Source organism: Homo sapiens, chromosome 9 (assembly GCF_000001405.40).
Source record: "Homo sapiens chromosome 9, GRCh38.p14 Primary Assembly".
Lineage (NCBI taxonomy): Eukaryota > Metazoa > Chordata > Mammalia > Primates > Hominidae > Homo > Homo sapiens.
This window is the reverse complement of record NC_000009.12, coordinates 126,996,188-127,012,863: the sequence shown is the minus strand read 5'-3', so window position 1 is coordinate 127,012,863 and position 16,676 is coordinate 126,996,188. Positions and strand designations below refer to the sequence as shown.

General features: G+C 41.9%; 1 protein-coding gene across 55 annotated transcripts in view, besides 6 other annotated features; it reads right to left on the bottom strand.

The window, feature by feature from the left end:
• RALGPS1 (Ral GEF with PH domain and SH3 binding motif 1) overlaps nucleotides 1–16,676 on the bottom strand; it is a 308,385-nt gene that overhangs the window by 210,303 nt on the left and 81,406 nt on the right. The window lies entirely within an intron of this gene.
• Nucleotides 4,977–5,026: an enhancer, noted in NCBI's record as "active region_29031". NCBI's record gives its function as "activates an Ori minimal core promoter by ATAC-STARR-seq in GM12878 lymphoblastoid cells {active_cell/tissue: GM12878}" and the evidence as "EXISTENCE:reporter gene assay evidence [ECO:0000049][PMID:35858748]".
• Nucleotides 6,961–7,140: an enhancer, noted in NCBI's record as "active region_29030". NCBI's record gives its function as "activates an Ori minimal core promoter by ATAC-STARR-seq in GM12878 lymphoblastoid cells {active_cell/tissue: GM12878}" and the evidence as "EXISTENCE:reporter gene assay evidence [ECO:0000049][PMID:35858748]".
• Nucleotides 7,201–7,310: an enhancer, noted in NCBI's record as "active region_29029". NCBI's record gives its function as "activates an Ori minimal core promoter by ATAC-STARR-seq in GM12878 lymphoblastoid cells {active_cell/tissue: GM12878}" and the evidence as "EXISTENCE:reporter gene assay evidence [ECO:0000049][PMID:35858748]".
• Nucleotides 7,371–7,420: an enhancer, noted in NCBI's record as "active region_29028". NCBI's record gives its function as "activates an Ori minimal core promoter by ATAC-STARR-seq in GM12878 lymphoblastoid cells {active_cell/tissue: GM12878}" and the evidence as "EXISTENCE:reporter gene assay evidence [ECO:0000049][PMID:35858748]".
• Nucleotides 7,761–7,830: an enhancer, noted in NCBI's record as "active region_29027". NCBI's record gives its function as "activates an Ori minimal core promoter by ATAC-STARR-seq in GM12878 lymphoblastoid cells {active_cell/tissue: GM12878}" and the evidence as "EXISTENCE:reporter gene assay evidence [ECO:0000049][PMID:35858748]".
• Nucleotides 7,841–7,890: an enhancer, noted in NCBI's record as "active region_29026". NCBI's record gives its function as "activates an Ori minimal core promoter by ATAC-STARR-seq in GM12878 lymphoblastoid cells {active_cell/tissue: GM12878}" and the evidence as "EXISTENCE:reporter gene assay evidence [ECO:0000049][PMID:35858748]".

The window sequence follows — 16,676 nt, the reverse complement described above, 5'->3', positions numbered from 1 at the left end:
GTGCCTGGTCAATAGGTGCTGAACAACTGAGTGATTGATAGACATGAAGCCACCATCCCAAGCAGACCCCAGGAATGCCTAAGCCAGCCCCACATGAAGATCATTTGGAAGAATTATCCTCTAATTACATTCAAATCTACAACTCCACTCAGAAACCTCAGACATCTGGCCCTTTGCACACCAGCCTTCCCCCAGATGCCACTCAGCCTCCAAGGGCTGCCTTAGTCTCAGCTTCAGCACATGTGCAGCTGAGACAGCTCAGCCCGTCCTGACTACCTCCACGTCGGAACAGCAGCAGCTTAGGGGTTTCCACAGTCTCACAATCACCTTGTGGTGTCACCCGGGTCTGAAATGGACCAAGGGGGCTACAGTCAGGGGCCTGCCATAGCCCAAGCCCTGGGTGCTCCAGGTCCAAGAGGAGGGAAGGGAAGGGTGGCCGAGACACAGGGCTGCTCTCTGTAAAGCGGTCAGGCTCAGGGGGAGATGGTACAAAATCTGCTGCCCAGGGAAGTATCTGGGCATAACATTTTGAGGCTTTTTAAGCTTAAACTTTTTAAGCTTTCCCTGCTTAAAAAGTTTATCTATAATTCAAAAGGGGGAAATAACTAAAACAAAACAAACATGAGATGACTACTTATTAGTAGGTTTTATCCAAAAACTTCATATTTTCCACTGAAGAAAAAGCCAGTCTGAATCTGAAGATTCACACCCTCAATACCTACACTCAGGAGAAAGAAACAATCTGCAGCCATAAATTAAAACTTTGCTTTAAACTCTCATTTCCCAAGAGAGTCGGGGTTTCAGGGCCCTCCACACCCTGCAATTGGGCCCTGACTGTCTGCCCGTCTAGTCGGAAGGCAAACAACACAGGCTATTTGTAATGACAAGTAAACACTAATGAATTTCGGAGCATGTCTGGTGCTTGCGTTTATGGATCATAAAATAATCTGGCTTCTTCCTGCCCCATGCTGACCTGCCAATGAGGCAAACCCAAGTATTTACAGGCAGGCAGGGGCTGCCAGGACCACTCTGTAAGACGGGGGACAGGGGATGGGAGGAACTGCCTATTAATCTTCCTGTTACATACAAACCAATTTTTATGCTCGGATTTTCAGCCTAAATCTTGGCATGTAAAATCCTATGGTCCTATAAAAGTATTTATTTTTTAAATTTCTTAGGGTGAGAGGGAGAGTCAACCTAACTGTCTCAGTCAAATATAGGCACAAACCTAGTCAGAAGTTACTAACATGGCTATTAAAGTACCAGCCAGATATAAATAAAGCTTTTAAAATGCACTTTTTCTAGTTAGACATATAATTTGTCTAATACACCCTACTGAATTCTAAGAGTCCCAAGGAAGTGCACTTCCATAAAAAATGGGCTCTTGGCCAGGCACAGTGGCTCACGCCTGTAATCCCAGCACTACGGGAGTCCAAGGCGGCGGATCACCTGAGGTCAGGAGTTTGAGACCAGCCTGGCCAACATGGTGAAACCCCACCTCCACTAAAAACACAAAAAATTAGCCGGGCATGGTGGCGGGCACCTGTAATCCCAGCTACTCGGGAGGCGGAGGCAGGAGAATCTCTTGAACCCAGGAGCCAGAGGTTGCAGTGAGCCGAGGTCACGCCACTGCACTCCAGCCTGGACAACAAGAGCAAAACTCCATCTCAAAAAAAAAAGGCGGGCTGGGGGGTGGTGGGCTCTCGGTCTAGGAACACCCTATGCATCTCCAGCCGCCAGGGCAAACCCCCTCATTGCCCAGCCAAGATATAGCCCCTGGCTTGGCCACACTGCTATGATCACCACAGAGGAAGTGACTGAAGTAGCTCTAGGACTCCTTCCACCCCAGAGGAGGTCTCGGGGAGCCTCCACAGAACCCAAAAGACCCAGATGGGCCACTGATATATGGGACTCTCCAGAGGCAGACTTTATCCCACAAAGAGACAGCACATCAGAGACCAAAGGAAGAGTTACAAAACTGTAGAATGAGCTCTCTCATAAGGGGAATCTTTCTTAACCCCAAATAGCTATGTAAAGCTTCCTAATGGCCAAGTGTCCCCACATCTGACCCAAGTCATGTAAAACTAAAGGCTGCACTAACGTGGATGATTTTGAGGCCATCAATTAGCAGGAGCCATCACTCATTCCCTGACTCCTCTGTGGGCTCCCAGCCCACCAGCCCTGCAGCCATGTTCTTGGCCTCTGCTCAGAAGCCAGCACAATATGAACACGAAAGGCACTGATCAAAGCAGATAGGGCTCTCAAAGCCAGAAGGGCCCCAAGAGGCAAATGACATATTAGGACAAGTGGATGTTGATGGACAATGGCACCCATTCCTGGCATCTTGAGAGTGCTCGGCTCTCAACCATTCCCACATCTCTAGGAACGGTACCTTGCCCTCAACCCCAGCCAGGGGTGGAATCCAGGCAGTCATTTTGAATGACATGAATCTGAACCCTCCAGGCAATTAATAAATTACTTGTGTATGAATTTGGAAGCTAGATGGAGGGAGAAAAAGTGAATCAGTCTCTAGGACTCAGGAGCTGTAGGGCAGCCACCTTAATACAGTCAGAGGAAGTCAGGGGAGGCAGGAGAAAGCGATGAGGAAGGACAAAGAGGAGAGAGATGAACAACTAGAGCCTGGCCAGGTGTCCAGGCTCTGGCTCCAGCCTCTCCCCACCTCTAGCCTCCATGACACCGCCCCGTGAGGATGGCCAAATTCCTTGTTTGGTCAAGTTGGCTTGCCAGACTCACCTGGCCTCCCACTGTTCTACTCTCACAGCCCTTCAGCACGGTGGCCCAATGAAGGAAAGGCAAAGCTCCTCTCTTGGGGAAAATGGAAGCAAACAGGAAACCAGGGACCTCCTTGGAAGAGTCAGGAGCCAAGAAATATAGACCCAGGGGCACAGTTTCCAATTCTGTGGAATTCTAGAATCTCTGTAGATATTCCTGGTGTGCAACTTTGCTTCCCTGCCTCCCTCCAGGGAAGTTAGCAGTTAAACATCAACAAACCCAGGGCTGTGGGCTAAACCTTCAAGAAAGTGGGAAGGGCAGAGGCTAAGACAGTACTCTATCTCACAGGTATGCTGGGGACATTTTTTCCAAGGCATAAAGTAGATGGTGGTAGCTTTAAAGAAGAGAAACACCAGCCTAGACTCTTAGGCTCAGAGATTCAAAAAAGTGAGGCAAACTGTCCAAGGCCACAGAACAGTAAGTGGGAAGGCCCAAGTTTCAACCTAGATAGGCCACAATCCATACTCACAACCCCTTCAGTAGATTTCACCCACTGACTCATCTCCTAGGGCCTAGATCAAAGAAACACAAATAAAGATATCCGTGACCATTAATAATGAAATCAGATCCTTTCTCTGCTAAAAGGGGATATTTATACTCACAAACTTCAAGGAAATGTGGCCCTGTTAGGTGGAGGGTGCTCTGACCTGCTGGTCCCCTTGATGGATTGGAGGATGTGTGTTGGGCCACAGGTGTTGAGAAATCTGAACTGCTCTGTACAGTAAAGGGAGATGGATGATCCCAGGGACAATCCATGATAAAGGATGAGGGGGGAACAAAGAGTCGTTCAGGGGAAAGCTGGAAGAGGCTGGGATGAGCTAAAGGGCCCACAATGATGAGGCATCCAATGGGTATGTTAGAAACAGGGATGCCTATAGTGCCTATTAAAGCTGATAGTGCAGCTCCCAAATTTTCCTTTCAATGAAGTCTATGTGGCTCCCTAATGTTCTATAAGACAGATTCTTTGAGAAGAACTTGCAAAAGTATCTCCACATCACTGTGGTGCAGTGAAAAATGGTATATGTGACAAAAATAAGCCTCTAGGATCTTGCGTGGATTTTGAAAGCAAAAAGCCTTCCTAAAGCCTTTCTAAAGCCATAGAATTGGGATTCAAGATTCAAGAACATACTTCTCAGAGAGACATCTGAGTGATGATTATAACAGCAAATGAAGGCCGAAGGAAAAGAGGAAGAGAAGAAATAGCAGCAGCAGCCATTTCCTGAGCATTGATTATGTTCTAGCCAGGATCTAAATTCATTATACATGAACTCTCCCAATAATCCTATGAAGTGGGTACAATTATTTTCACCATTTTACAGATGAGATAATTAAGATTTTGAGATGTTAAGCCCAGATTTACATATCTGGTTGTGGTAGAGCAGGATCTCAAACCCAGCTCCGTCTGTACCATAATTCAGGCTACTAACCAGGATATCACCAGTCTCCCCAAAGACAAGGTGCTTGAGCTTCCTTTCTGACTCCTCCCTTCCTTTCTGGAGGATTCTAGGCAACTAGGGATCTAATCTAAGATGTTCAGCTTCACCCCATCCCACTTTTCCCACAGCTGCCTCTACTGACGGTTTTGTTTCCCTGGTCCTGCTGAGGTCCCAATCCCCAAAGACACTTCAGCCAGTAATGAGGTTCTGGTGGCAAGCCAGTCCCAACCAGATCCCTTCACAAGCCTAGAGGTCCTCCCACAGACAGGGCCAGGGGCAGCTGCTTCTAAGAACCTAGAGTTCTGCCAGAAGGCATGAAGATTAGGTCCATGGAATAGCCCAGCTATTTGAGTAAGAAGTGTACTAGCCACACAGTCATGCTGCTGGTACAGGATACCTCATGCAGGTATCACACAGGCACTTCCAACTCAACATGTGCAAAACCAAATTCTGCACATACCCGCCCCACCCCCACATCATTTTTTTTTTTTTTTGACCAGTCTCCCAATTGACCAGACCAGAAACTTGGGAGATATCCTTGACTCCTCCCTCTCTCACAACATCCACATCCACCTTAGCACCAAGGCCTGCAGAGAACAGCACCTAGACATTCCTGCATCTATGTGGGTCACCCTTGTCCACTGCATTATCCTCACACAGACCACATCGTCTTTCACCTAGACCACAGGAAAGTCTCTGAATGGCTCTCCCTCGCAGGTCTCTTCTCCACAGAGCAGCCAGAGCAATCCTTGTAAGCCATGCAAATCTAATCAAAGCTCTCCCCTGCAGGAAACCCTCCAATGTCTTACTGCTATCAGCGGACGATCCACACTGCCTGACCTGTCAGACAAGGGTCTTCGGCCCTGACCCCTGGCTGGCTCTCTAGCTCATCTGTGACTGGCCTCATTGTGGCGTGACCCAGCCATGCTGAAATGTGTTCTTTCAGTTCTCTGCCCTCCCTGTCTTGCTTTCTCTTGCCTCAGGCCTTGGTACATGCTGCTCCCTCTGCCTGAAAAACTCCTTCTCCCCTTTACCAGTTCATTCCTCAAGTCTTGGCTTATATACTATTATTCAGACAAGCTTTCCTGAGCCCCCCACCATACACCAGACAAAGCTGGATGCTCCTTCTATGTACTTCTACGGCACGTGTAATTCCCCCGACAGCCCCTACCATTCTTTATTAAATTGCTTCTCAAGTCATGTCTTCCTTCCATAGGCTACAAGCAATGTGCAGGAATGGGACCTGACAATCTAATATGTGCATCTATGTGTGTCTGGTGCCTAAGGAAGCACCCAGTCATAGAAGGCATTGAATAACTAATTGTTGACCAAATGAGTGTTATCCTGTATCAACTAGCTGGAAGCAAAGTGTTTGGAAAAAGTAAGTTTTCCAGAAAATAGAGCTTTAACTCTTTAAGTACAGCAACTTTATACTCAATGAAAAATTACAAAACAAATACTATGTACCCAGAACTATGCTAAGCATATGGGAGACAAAGACACACAGATGTGGTCCCTGCTCCTGGGTCTCAGAAGCCTCTGGTATCCCTAATAACAGTTACGAGCTCCCTCCCCAGTAAAATGTAAATAACAAAGGCATGAGAAATGTTGTACACAATTTATCTTAGAGTTAAATTTTAAAAATCTTTTCAGAGATTATTTTCCCTCCCCTCCTCTCTTTCTCTCTCTCCTCTCTCCCTCTCTCCCTTTCATGCACAAAAGTTAATACCGACACCCTAAAAAGAATCAAAAGAAATCCAAATTGTGCCAATAAGATTAAAATGAAAACTATAACACAAAGTATGCTGTACCCTGGCACAACAGAAGCAGTTACCAGGGGTGTGGACATGTGGACCCTAGAGCCAGACCACCTAGGTTTATATCTAACTCCACCACTGAGCAGCCCTATTACCTTGGGCAGTTTTATTAACCTCTCTGGGCCTCAGTCTCTTCATCTGAAAATGAAGATAATAAAACTGCCTTCCTTATATTAGTGTTGGAAATATTCAATGGGTTAATTCATGGAAAGTTATTAGAATAATGCCTGTCACATAACGAGCATTCAATAAACAAAGTTATAATGATTATCATTATTGAATGTAACAGTGGAATTGTGAAACACTCCTTGACATTTGGTCAACCTGCCTTTTCTAAATTTAGATATCAACAAATGCTTGAAAACCCAGACTCCCAAAGGAAGGCAGTGGTATACTAAATCACCACTCCCAAAGCCTATTGACAAGAGTCAGTGAATGTCAGATGTCAAAGAACGCCACCATTCTCCAAGGGTTTTCCAGGTGGATCAACACTGCATTCGCTTCTTTTTTCTTAAGTCCCTGAGAAAAACAACGTCAAGGTTTCCTTCACGAATGGCTTGTCCCCAAAGAAGGACCGTGAATCCATACTCTGTTTTCATGTTTTGCTGAGCAGAAGTTACCTGCAAAAGCAGACAGTAGGAGTGGTGACAGTGGGCATCCTAGTCTTGTTCCTGTTCTTCAGGGTAATGCTTCTAGCTCTTGCCCATTCAGTATGATGCTGACTGTGGATGTGTCATAGATGGCTATTATTACTTTGAGGTATGTTCCTTTGATGCCCAGTTTGTTGAGTGTTTTTAGCATGAAGAGATGTTGGATTTTATCGAAAGCTGTATTCACATCTATTGGTCTCTGCAGATTTCTGCTGCTGAAGACTAAGCATGACTCTGCCACTCCCAAGCTGCACAAACATTTCTTCCAGCAGGAGAAGGTTTGCAGACTTGTCCACCCACGTCTCCTCTTGTAGAAGGCAGAGTGGCTAAAAATGCCCACTTTTCAGCAACATCTATAATGGTGAATTGAAAGGTTTACCTCACTCACATGGCCAAAAATATCTGGTTAAGTAAGCCAAGTCATGAATGAATTCCTCTTTCTCTGTTTTGTGAGTTTTCCTTTCCTTTCAAAGAAAAAAAAGTAGAACTTCAGTCTGAAGTTCAGTCAAGTACTTCAAGGCTTATCCTTTGGAGAGCCAGTGAACTCCTGTGTAGTCGAAGCAGCTTTCTGTTCTGCTCCATTTCATAAAAAAAAACCTCCTGAGAAGGCAGTGACTCAAGGCCTGGCTCTGATGAAACCACAGGCTGTCAAAGCAGGCTTTCAAGACCATTGTAATCTTTGACATCAATGCACGCTGACACAGAAAGTCCCAGCCACAGTGACAGGTGGGCCTTCTTGTTTCATGAAAGCTACAAAACCAGAAGTATTGCCAGAGAAAGCAGATGCTTCATCTGTGCACAGACAGCCTTGACATTCCTTTCAGTCAAAATTTAGCTTGGCAAAGGAACTGTTTGCCATTCTGAAGACTGAAATTTCTCAGAGGGTTTGCAGTATAACAATTCTTCTTGGATGCTGACAACATGCAGGTACAGATGTCAATAGGAGCTGGGTTGCACTAAAACTATCACTAGCAGTTCATGCAATGAGTTTTAAGAGAAATGGCACTGCTGCCAATTATTTCCATGACCTGCTTCAAAACACCAGAAGACAGGTGAGCTACTCTAGAAATCACATCACTTGACACAGGAACTGCTTAATCTCCTTCCTCTGCTCCGGGCCACAACTCAGCTCAGTCATGTCTAAGTTAAGCAGCATCACCAAGTTCTCTCCTACCAGAGTGACTTCTTTTGCTTGGCAATGCAATAAACAATTTTGAAGGGTCTTCCAAAACAAGGCTGCTGTATTAGGGTAAATCTGAGTTTTCAAAAATTTCCAGACTTTTTAACTCAAGCCTTCTTCTCATAAATAAGGTCCCCTCTCCCTTACGTATCTTCTGGAGGTGGATGCTCCTTCTCCTTTGCAGATGTCGTGCAACCACTGACAAGAAGCCTATCATTGCAGGCTAAATGTCTGCTTATGAAAGTAACACTAAAGATTATGTAAGCTTCACAATATATTTTTTCATTGACATTTTCCAACTTAAGCTAAGATCAAATAAACACAAAAAGATGTGTATAATCATAAAGGTAAGTTACAGTTTCATAAATTCCTTTCAAATGGAACATATTCCAGACACCATAACAGTAGACATAACATAGTGATGTGAAAACTGCAATTACCCAGACATAAGTAGTAGCACTTCATGCCATCCCAACCCTTTAGAGTAGAACAATGCCTTAATATAATTTAAGAAAAATAATGTTTCCACAGAAGATTGTTTTCAAAACAATTACAGGCTCATGCCTATAATCCCAACACTTTGGGAAGCCAAGGCAGGTGGATCACCTGAGGTCAGGAGTTTGAGACCAGCCTGGCCAACATTGCGAAACACTGTCTCTACTAAAAATACAAAAATTGGCCGGGTGTGGTGGCGGGTGCCTGTAATCCCAGCTGCTTGGGAGGCTGAGGCAGGAGAATCACTTGAATCTGAGAGGCAAAGGCTGCAGTGAGCTGAGATCACGCCATTGCGCTTTAGCCTGGGCAACAAGAGTAAAACTCCATCTCAAAAAAGGAAAGGAAAAGGGAAAGGGAAGGAAAGGAAAAGAAGAAAGAAGAGAAAGAAAAGAGACTTTGACTCTGTCTACGGCAAAGTAACTGATACTAACCATAAAAATTGGATAAAGTAACTATAATATCAAAAGCATAGCAATTTAAAGAGACAGAGCAACCAAAGAAGCCAGGATTTGAGGCCCAAGATGCCAGAAAGAGGATAAATGTGCTGAGGTGAACTCTGCATTTGGTACTGTTTCGTCTTCTGACAACATAAAGTGCTGACAGAGATGCTGGACAACTGAAACTCTCACAGAGTGCCAACAGGAATGTGAAATGATACAGTCACTTTTTACCTAGGTGATGGGCTGATAGGTGCAGCAAACCACCATGGCACACATTACCTATGTAACAAACCTGCACATCCTGCACATGTATCCCACAACTTAAAATAAAATTTTAAAAAATAATTTTAAAAAAAAAGAAAAGAAAGAAAGAAAGAAAACAGTTTGGCAGTATCTATTAAGCTAAATATACACACACCTTACGAGCCAGCAATTTCACTCCCACACATTGCATCCAAGGAAAATGGGAGTTTATGTCTAACAAAAGGCATGTTCAAGAACGTTTGTGACTTTTTAACGATTGCCATTCTAACTGGTGTGAGATGGTATCTCATTGTGGTTTTGATTTGCATTTCTCTGATGGCCAGTGATGATGAACATTTTTTCATGTGTTTTTTGGCTACATAAATGTCTTCTTTTGAGAAGTGTCTGTTCATGTCCTTTGCCCACTTTTTGATGGGGTTGTTTGTTTTTTTCTTGTAAATTTGTTTGAGTTCATTGTAGATTCTGGATATTAGCCCTTTGTCAGATGAGTAGGTTGCGAAAATTTTCTCCCATTTTGTAGGCTGCCTGTTCACTCTGATGGTAGTTTCTTTTGCTGTGCAGAAGCTCTTTAGTTTAATTAGATCCCATTTGTCAATTTTGGCTTTTGTTGCCATTGCTTTTGGTGTTTTGGACGTGAAGTCCTTGCCCATGCCTATGTCCTGAATGGTAATGCCTAGGTTTTCGTGCTGGAGAGGATGTGGAGAAATAGGAACACTTTTACACTGTTGGTGGGACTGTAAACTAGTTCAACCATTGTGGAAGTCAGTGTGGCGATTCCTCAGGGATCTAGAACTAGAAATACCATTTGATCCAGCCATCCCATTACTGGGTATATACCCAAATGACTATAAATCATGCTGCTATAAAGACACATGCACACGTATGTTTATTGCAGCATTATTCACAATAGCAAAGACTTGGAACCAACCCAAATGCCCAACAATGATAGACTGGATTAAGAAAATGTGGCACATATACACCATGGAATACTATGCAGTCATAAAAAATGATGAGTTCATGTCCTTTGTAAGGACATGGATGAAATTGGAAATCATCATTCTCAGTAAACTATCGCAAGAACAAAAAACCAAACACCACATATTCTCGCTCATAGGTGGGAACTGAACAATGAGATCACATGGACACAGGAAGGGGAATATCACACTCTAGGGACTGTGGTGGGGTGGGGGGAGGGGGGAGGGATAGCATTGGGAGATATACCTAATGCTAGATGACGAGCTAGTGGGTGCAGTGCACCAGCATGGCACATGTATACATATGTAACTAACCTGCACAATGTGCACATGTACCCTAAAACTTAAAGTATAATAAAAAAAAAAGAAAAAAAAAAAAAAGAATGTTTGTGGTATCACTACTCATAATAGCTCCAAACCAGAAACCCAAAATATCCATCACCATTGAAAAATATAAATAAAATATGATCTACTCATACAATGAATGGAATACTATACAAAAATGAGAAAGAAAAAAACTCCTGCTACACACAAAAACAGGATAAATCTCACATATATAATGTTAAGTGAAAGAAGCCAGACAAAATGTACGTATTTTATGATTCTATTTATATAAAGTTCAAAAACAGACAAAACTACCTATGGTGATAGAATCATGGTTACATTTGTACATAGTTGATGACTTGGAGGGGGCATGAGGTAGCCTTCTGGGGTGCTGGTATGTTTTACATCTTGATCCAGATGGTGGCTACATTGTTTGTTTGCTTTGTAAAAATGCATTGAGTTATAGCCTTAAGATTTGTGTACCTGATTATATGCATTTTAAAAAATTTCTTTAAAAGATAATAGACTTTAACAGATTATCATTTAATGCAAATGTATTAATATAGAGACTACTGCATATATATTTTATTTTTATTTTTTATTTTTGAGATGGAGTCTCACTCTTGTTGCCAAGGCTGGAGCGCAATGGCACGATCTCGGCTCACTGCAACCTCCGCCTCCCAGGTTCAAGCAATTCTCCTGCCTCAACCTCCCAAGTAGCTGGGATTACAGGCACACGCCTCCACGCCCAGCTAATTTTTATATTTTTAGTAGAGACGGGGTTTCACCATGTTGGCCAGGCTGGTCTCGAACTCCTGACCTAGTAATCCACCCAACTCAGCCTCCCAAAGTGCTGGGATTACAGGTGTGAGCCACCGCGCCCAGCCCGATTATTGCATATTTAGAAGAAAAATGTATGACAACAATACTGCAAAGAATAGGACGGAGGTAAATAGACATACACTGTTGTAAATGTCTTACACTATACATAAAATGGTATATTATCACTTGAAAGTAGACTATAAGTTTAAAATATATACTAAAAACCCTAAACCAACCACTGAAATTAAAGAAATTATACCTCATAAGCCAATAAAGAAGTTAAGGTGGAATCATGAAGTGTGCTCAATTAATTAAAAAGAAGTCAGAAAAAGAAGGAAAAGAGAACAAAAAATAGTGTGAACTTACTTTTTTTTTTTTTTTTGAGACAGAGTCTTGCTCTGTCACCCAGGCTTGAGTGCAGTGGCACAATCATGGCTCACTACAGCCTCAACCTCCTGGGTTCAAGTGATCCCCCCACCTCAGCCTCCTAATAGCTGGGACGACAGGCATGCACCACCATGCCCAGTTAAGTTTTGTTTTGTTTTGTTTTGTTTTGTTTTGTTTTGTTTTGTTTTGTTTTGTAGAGACAGAGTCTCACTATGTTAGGCTCAAGCAACCCACCCACCTCAGCCTCCCAAAGTGTTGGGATTATAGGTGTGAGCCACCACGCCTGGCCTGAACTTACTTTTTTCTCAAGTTCATACCAAACATTTATCAAGATTGACCATATTCTTAGCCACTAGTCTCAATAAATTTAAATTAAGTCATACAAAGTATGTTCTCTAACTACAATGGAATTAGAAATCAATAGCAGAGGCCGGGCGCGGTGGCTCACACCTATAATCCCAGCGCTTTGGGAGGCTGAGGCAGGTGGATCACCTGAGGTCAGGAGTTTGAGACCAGCCTGACCAACACGGCGAAGCCCCGTCTCTACTAAAAATACAAAAAAAAAATTAGCCAGAGGTGGTGGTGCATGACTGTAATCCCAGCTACTCTGGAGGCTGAGGCAGGAGAATCGCTTGAACCTGGGAAGCAAAGGTTGCAGTGAGCCGAGATAGTACCTTTGCACTCCAGCCTCGGCAACAAGAGTGAAACTCCATCTCAAAAAAAAAAAAAAAAAAAAAAAAAAAAAAAGACAAGACAAGAAATCAATAGCAGGAATATACCTAGCCATTCCTCAAATATTTGGAAACTGAATAACACATCTTTAATAGTTCATGGGTCAAAAAGAAATCAAAAGGAAAATTAGAAAGCATTTGAATTTAATGGAAATGAAGGCCCAAAATATCAAAACGCGTGGGAGCAAAGCTAGAGCAGCACTTAGAAGAAAATTTATAGCATTAGATGCCTACATTAGCAATGAAGAAAGCGCTCAAATCATTGACTTCAGCTTCTACTTAAGAAACTATAAAAGAAGAGCAAATTAAACCCAAAGTAAGCAGAAGAAAGAATATGAACTGAAATCAATGGATCAGAAAACAGAAAAGCCATAGAAAAAATAATGAAACCAAAAGCTCTCCTTGAGATCAATAAAATTAGTAAATTTTAGCTGGACTGACCAGGGGAAAAAAAGCAAAGAGATACAAATTACCAATATGAGGAATGAGAGCAGGGGACATCATGACAGATCCTATAGATATTAAAAGAATAAAAAGGGAATATTATGAACAACTTCATGGGAATAAATTTAACAACTCAGATAAAATGCACAGGCTCAATGAAAAACACAACCAAAACTCACTAAAAAAGAAACAGATAAACTGAATAGTTAGAGAAACTAAATTTGTGGTTTAAAAGCTTTCCACAATGATCTAGCTATCACTCTCATTGGTATTTACCCAAATGGGTTGAAAACTTGTGTTCACACAGAAATCTGCATATGAATCTTTACAGAAGCTTTATTCATAATTGCCGAAACTTTGAAGCAATCAAGATATCCCTCAGTAGGTGAATGGATAAACTTTGGTATATGCAAACAATAAATTATTATTCAGCACTAAAAAGAAATGAGCTATCAAGCCATGAAAAGACATGAAGAAAACATAAATGCTTATTACTAAATCAAAGAAGCCAATCTGAAAAGGCTACATACTATATGATTCTAACTATAAGACATTCTGGAAAAGGTAAAACTATGAAGATAGTGAAAAGACCAGTGGTGCCAGGGGTTAAGAGAGAAGAAGAGATGAATAGGTGGGGCACAGAGGATTTTAGAATAGTAAAACTATTCTGTATGACACTATAATGGCAGATGCATGTGATTACATATTTGTCAAACTGATAGAATGCACAACACCACGAATTAACTCTAATGAAAACTATGGACTTTGGGTGATGATGCTGTATCAGTGTAGGGTCTTCAATTTTAACAAATCCACTCTGGGGGAGGACGCTGATAGTGGGGGAGGCTGTGCATGTACGGGGTCAGGAGATACAGAATGTACACTCTATACTTTCTGTTCAATTTTGCTAGAAATCTGAAACTTATTATTATTATTATTATTATACTTTAAGTTTTAGGGTACATGTGCACAACGTGCAGGTTTGTTACATATGTATACATGTGCCATGTTGGTGTGCTGCACCCATTAACTCGTCATTTAGCATTAGGTATATCTCCTAATGCTATCCCTCCCCCCTCCCCCACCCAACAACAGTCCCCAGTGTGTGATGTTCCCCTTCCTGTGTCCACATGTTCTCATTGTTCAGTTCCCACCTGTAAGTGAGAACATGCGGTGTTTGGTTTTTTGTCCTTGCGATAGTTTGCTGAGAATGATGGTTTCCAGCTTCATCCATGTCCCTACAAAGGACATGAACTCATCATTTTTTATGGCTGCATAGTATTCCATGGTGTATATGTGCCACATTTTCTTAATCCAGTCTATCGTTGTTGGACATTTAGGTTGGTTCCAAGTCTTCGCTATTGTGAATAGTGCCGCTATAAACATACGTGTGCATGTGTCTTTATAGCAGCATGATTTATAGTCCTTTGGGTATATACCCAGTAATGGGATGGCTGGGTCAAATGGTATTTCTAGTTCCAGATCCCTGAGGAATTGCCACACTGACTTCCACAATGGTTGAACTGGTTTTACAGTCCCACCAACAGTGTCAAAGTGTTCCTATTTCTCCACATCCTCTCCAGCACCTGTTGTTTCCTGACTTTTTAATGATTGCCATTCTAACTGGTGTGGGATGGTATCTCATTGTGGTTTTGATTTGCATTGCTCTGATGGCCAGTGATAATGAGCATTTTTTCATGTGTTTTTTGGCTGCATAAATGTCTTCTTTTGAGAAGTGTCTGTTCATATCCTTTGCCCACTTTTTGATGGGGTTGTTTGTTTTTTTCTTGTAAATTTGAGTCCATTGTAGATTCTAGGTATTAGCCCTTTGTCAGATGAGTAGGTTGCAAAAGTTTTCTCCCATTCTGTAGGTTGCCTGTTCACTCTGATGGTAGTTTCTTTTGCTGTGCAGAAGCTCTTTAGTTTAATTAGATCCCATTTGTCAATTCTGGCTTTTGTTGCCATTGCTTTTGGTGTTTTAGATATGAAGTCCTTGCCCATGCCTATGTCCTGAATGGTATTGCCTAGGTTTTCTTCTAGGGTTTTTATGGTTTTAGGTCTAACATTTAAGTCTTTAATCCATCTTGAATTAATTTTTGTATAACATGTAAGGAAGGGATCCAGTTTCAGCTTTCTACATATGGCTAGCCAGTTTTCCAAGCACCATTTATTAAATAGGGAATCCTTTCCCCATTGCTTGTTTTTCTCAGGTTTGTCAAAGATCAGATAGTTGTAGATACGAAGCATTGTTTCTGAGGGCTCTGTTCTGTTCCATTGGTCCATATCTCTGTTTTGGTACCAGTACCATGCTGTTTTGGGTACTGTAGCCTTGTAGTATAGTTTGAAGTCAGGTAGCATGATGCCTCCAGCTTTGTTCTTTTGGCTTAGGATTCACTTGGCGATGTGGGCTCTTTTTTGGTTCCATATGAACTTTTAAGTAGTTTTTTCCAATTCCGTGAAGAAAGTCATTGGTAGCTTGATGGGGATGGCATTGAATCTATAAATCACCTTGGGCAGTATGGTCATTTTCACGATATTGATTCTTCCTACCCATGAGCATGGAATGTTCTTTCATTTGTTTGTATCCTCTTTTATTTCATTGAGCAGTGGTTTGTAGTTCTCCTTGAAGAGGTCCTTCACATCCCTTGTAAGTTGGATTCTTAGGTATTTTATTCTCTTTGAAGCAATTGTGAATGGGAGTTCACTCATGATTTGGTTCTCTGTTATTGGTGTGTAAGAATGCTTGTGATTTTTGTACATTGATTTTGAATCCTGAGACTTTGCTGAAGTTATCAGCTTGAGGAGATTTTGGGCTGAGACGATGGGGTTTTCTAGATATACAATCATGTCATCTGCAAACGGACAATCTGACTTCCTCTTTTCCTAATTGAATACCCTTTATTTCCTTCTCCTGCCTCAATGCCCTGGCTAGAACTTCCAACACTATGTTGAATAGGAGTGGTGAGAGAGGGCATCCCTGTCTTGTGCCCGTTTTCAAAGGGAATGCTTCCAGTTTTTGCCCATTCAGTATGATATTGGCTGTGGGGTTGTCATAGATAGCTCTTATTATTTTGAGATACGTCCCATCAATATCTAATTTATTGAGAGTTTTTAGCATGAAGCGTTGTTGAATTTTGTCAAAGGCCTTTTCTGCATCTATTGAGATAATCATGTGGTTTTTGTCTTTGGTTCTGTTTATATGCTGGATTACATTTATTGATTTGTGTATGTTGAACCAGCCTTGCATCCCAGGGATGAAGCCCACTTGATCATGGTGGATAAGCTTTTTGATGTGCTGCTGGATTTGGTTTGCCAGTATTTTATTGAGGATTTTTGCATCAATGTTCATCAAGGATATTGGTCTAAAATTCTCTTTTTTGGTTGTGTCTCTGCCCGGCTTTGGTATCAGGATGATGCTGGCCTCATAAAATGAGTTAGGGAGGATTCCCTCTTTTTCTATTGATTGGAATAGTTTCAGAAGGATTGGTATCAGCTCCTCTTTGTACCTCTGGTAGAATTCGGCTGTGAATCCATCTGGTCCTGGACTTTTTTTGGTTGGTAAGCTATTGATTATTGCCTCAATTTCAGAGCCTGTTATTGGTCTATTCAGAGATTCAACTTCTTCCTGGTTTAGTCTTGGGAGGATGCATGTGTCAAGGAATTTATCCATTTCTTCTAGATTTTCTAGTTTATTTGCGTAGAGGTGTTTGTAGTATTCTCTGATGGTAGTTTGTATTTCTGTGGGATCAGTGGTGATATCCCTTTATCATTTTTTATTGCATCTATTTGATTCTTCTCTCTTTTCTTCTTTATTAGTCTTGCTAGCAGTCTATCAATTTTGTTGATCTTTTCAAAAAAACCAGCTCCTGGATTCATTAATTTTTTGAAGGGTTTTTTGTGTCTCTATTTCCTTCAGTTC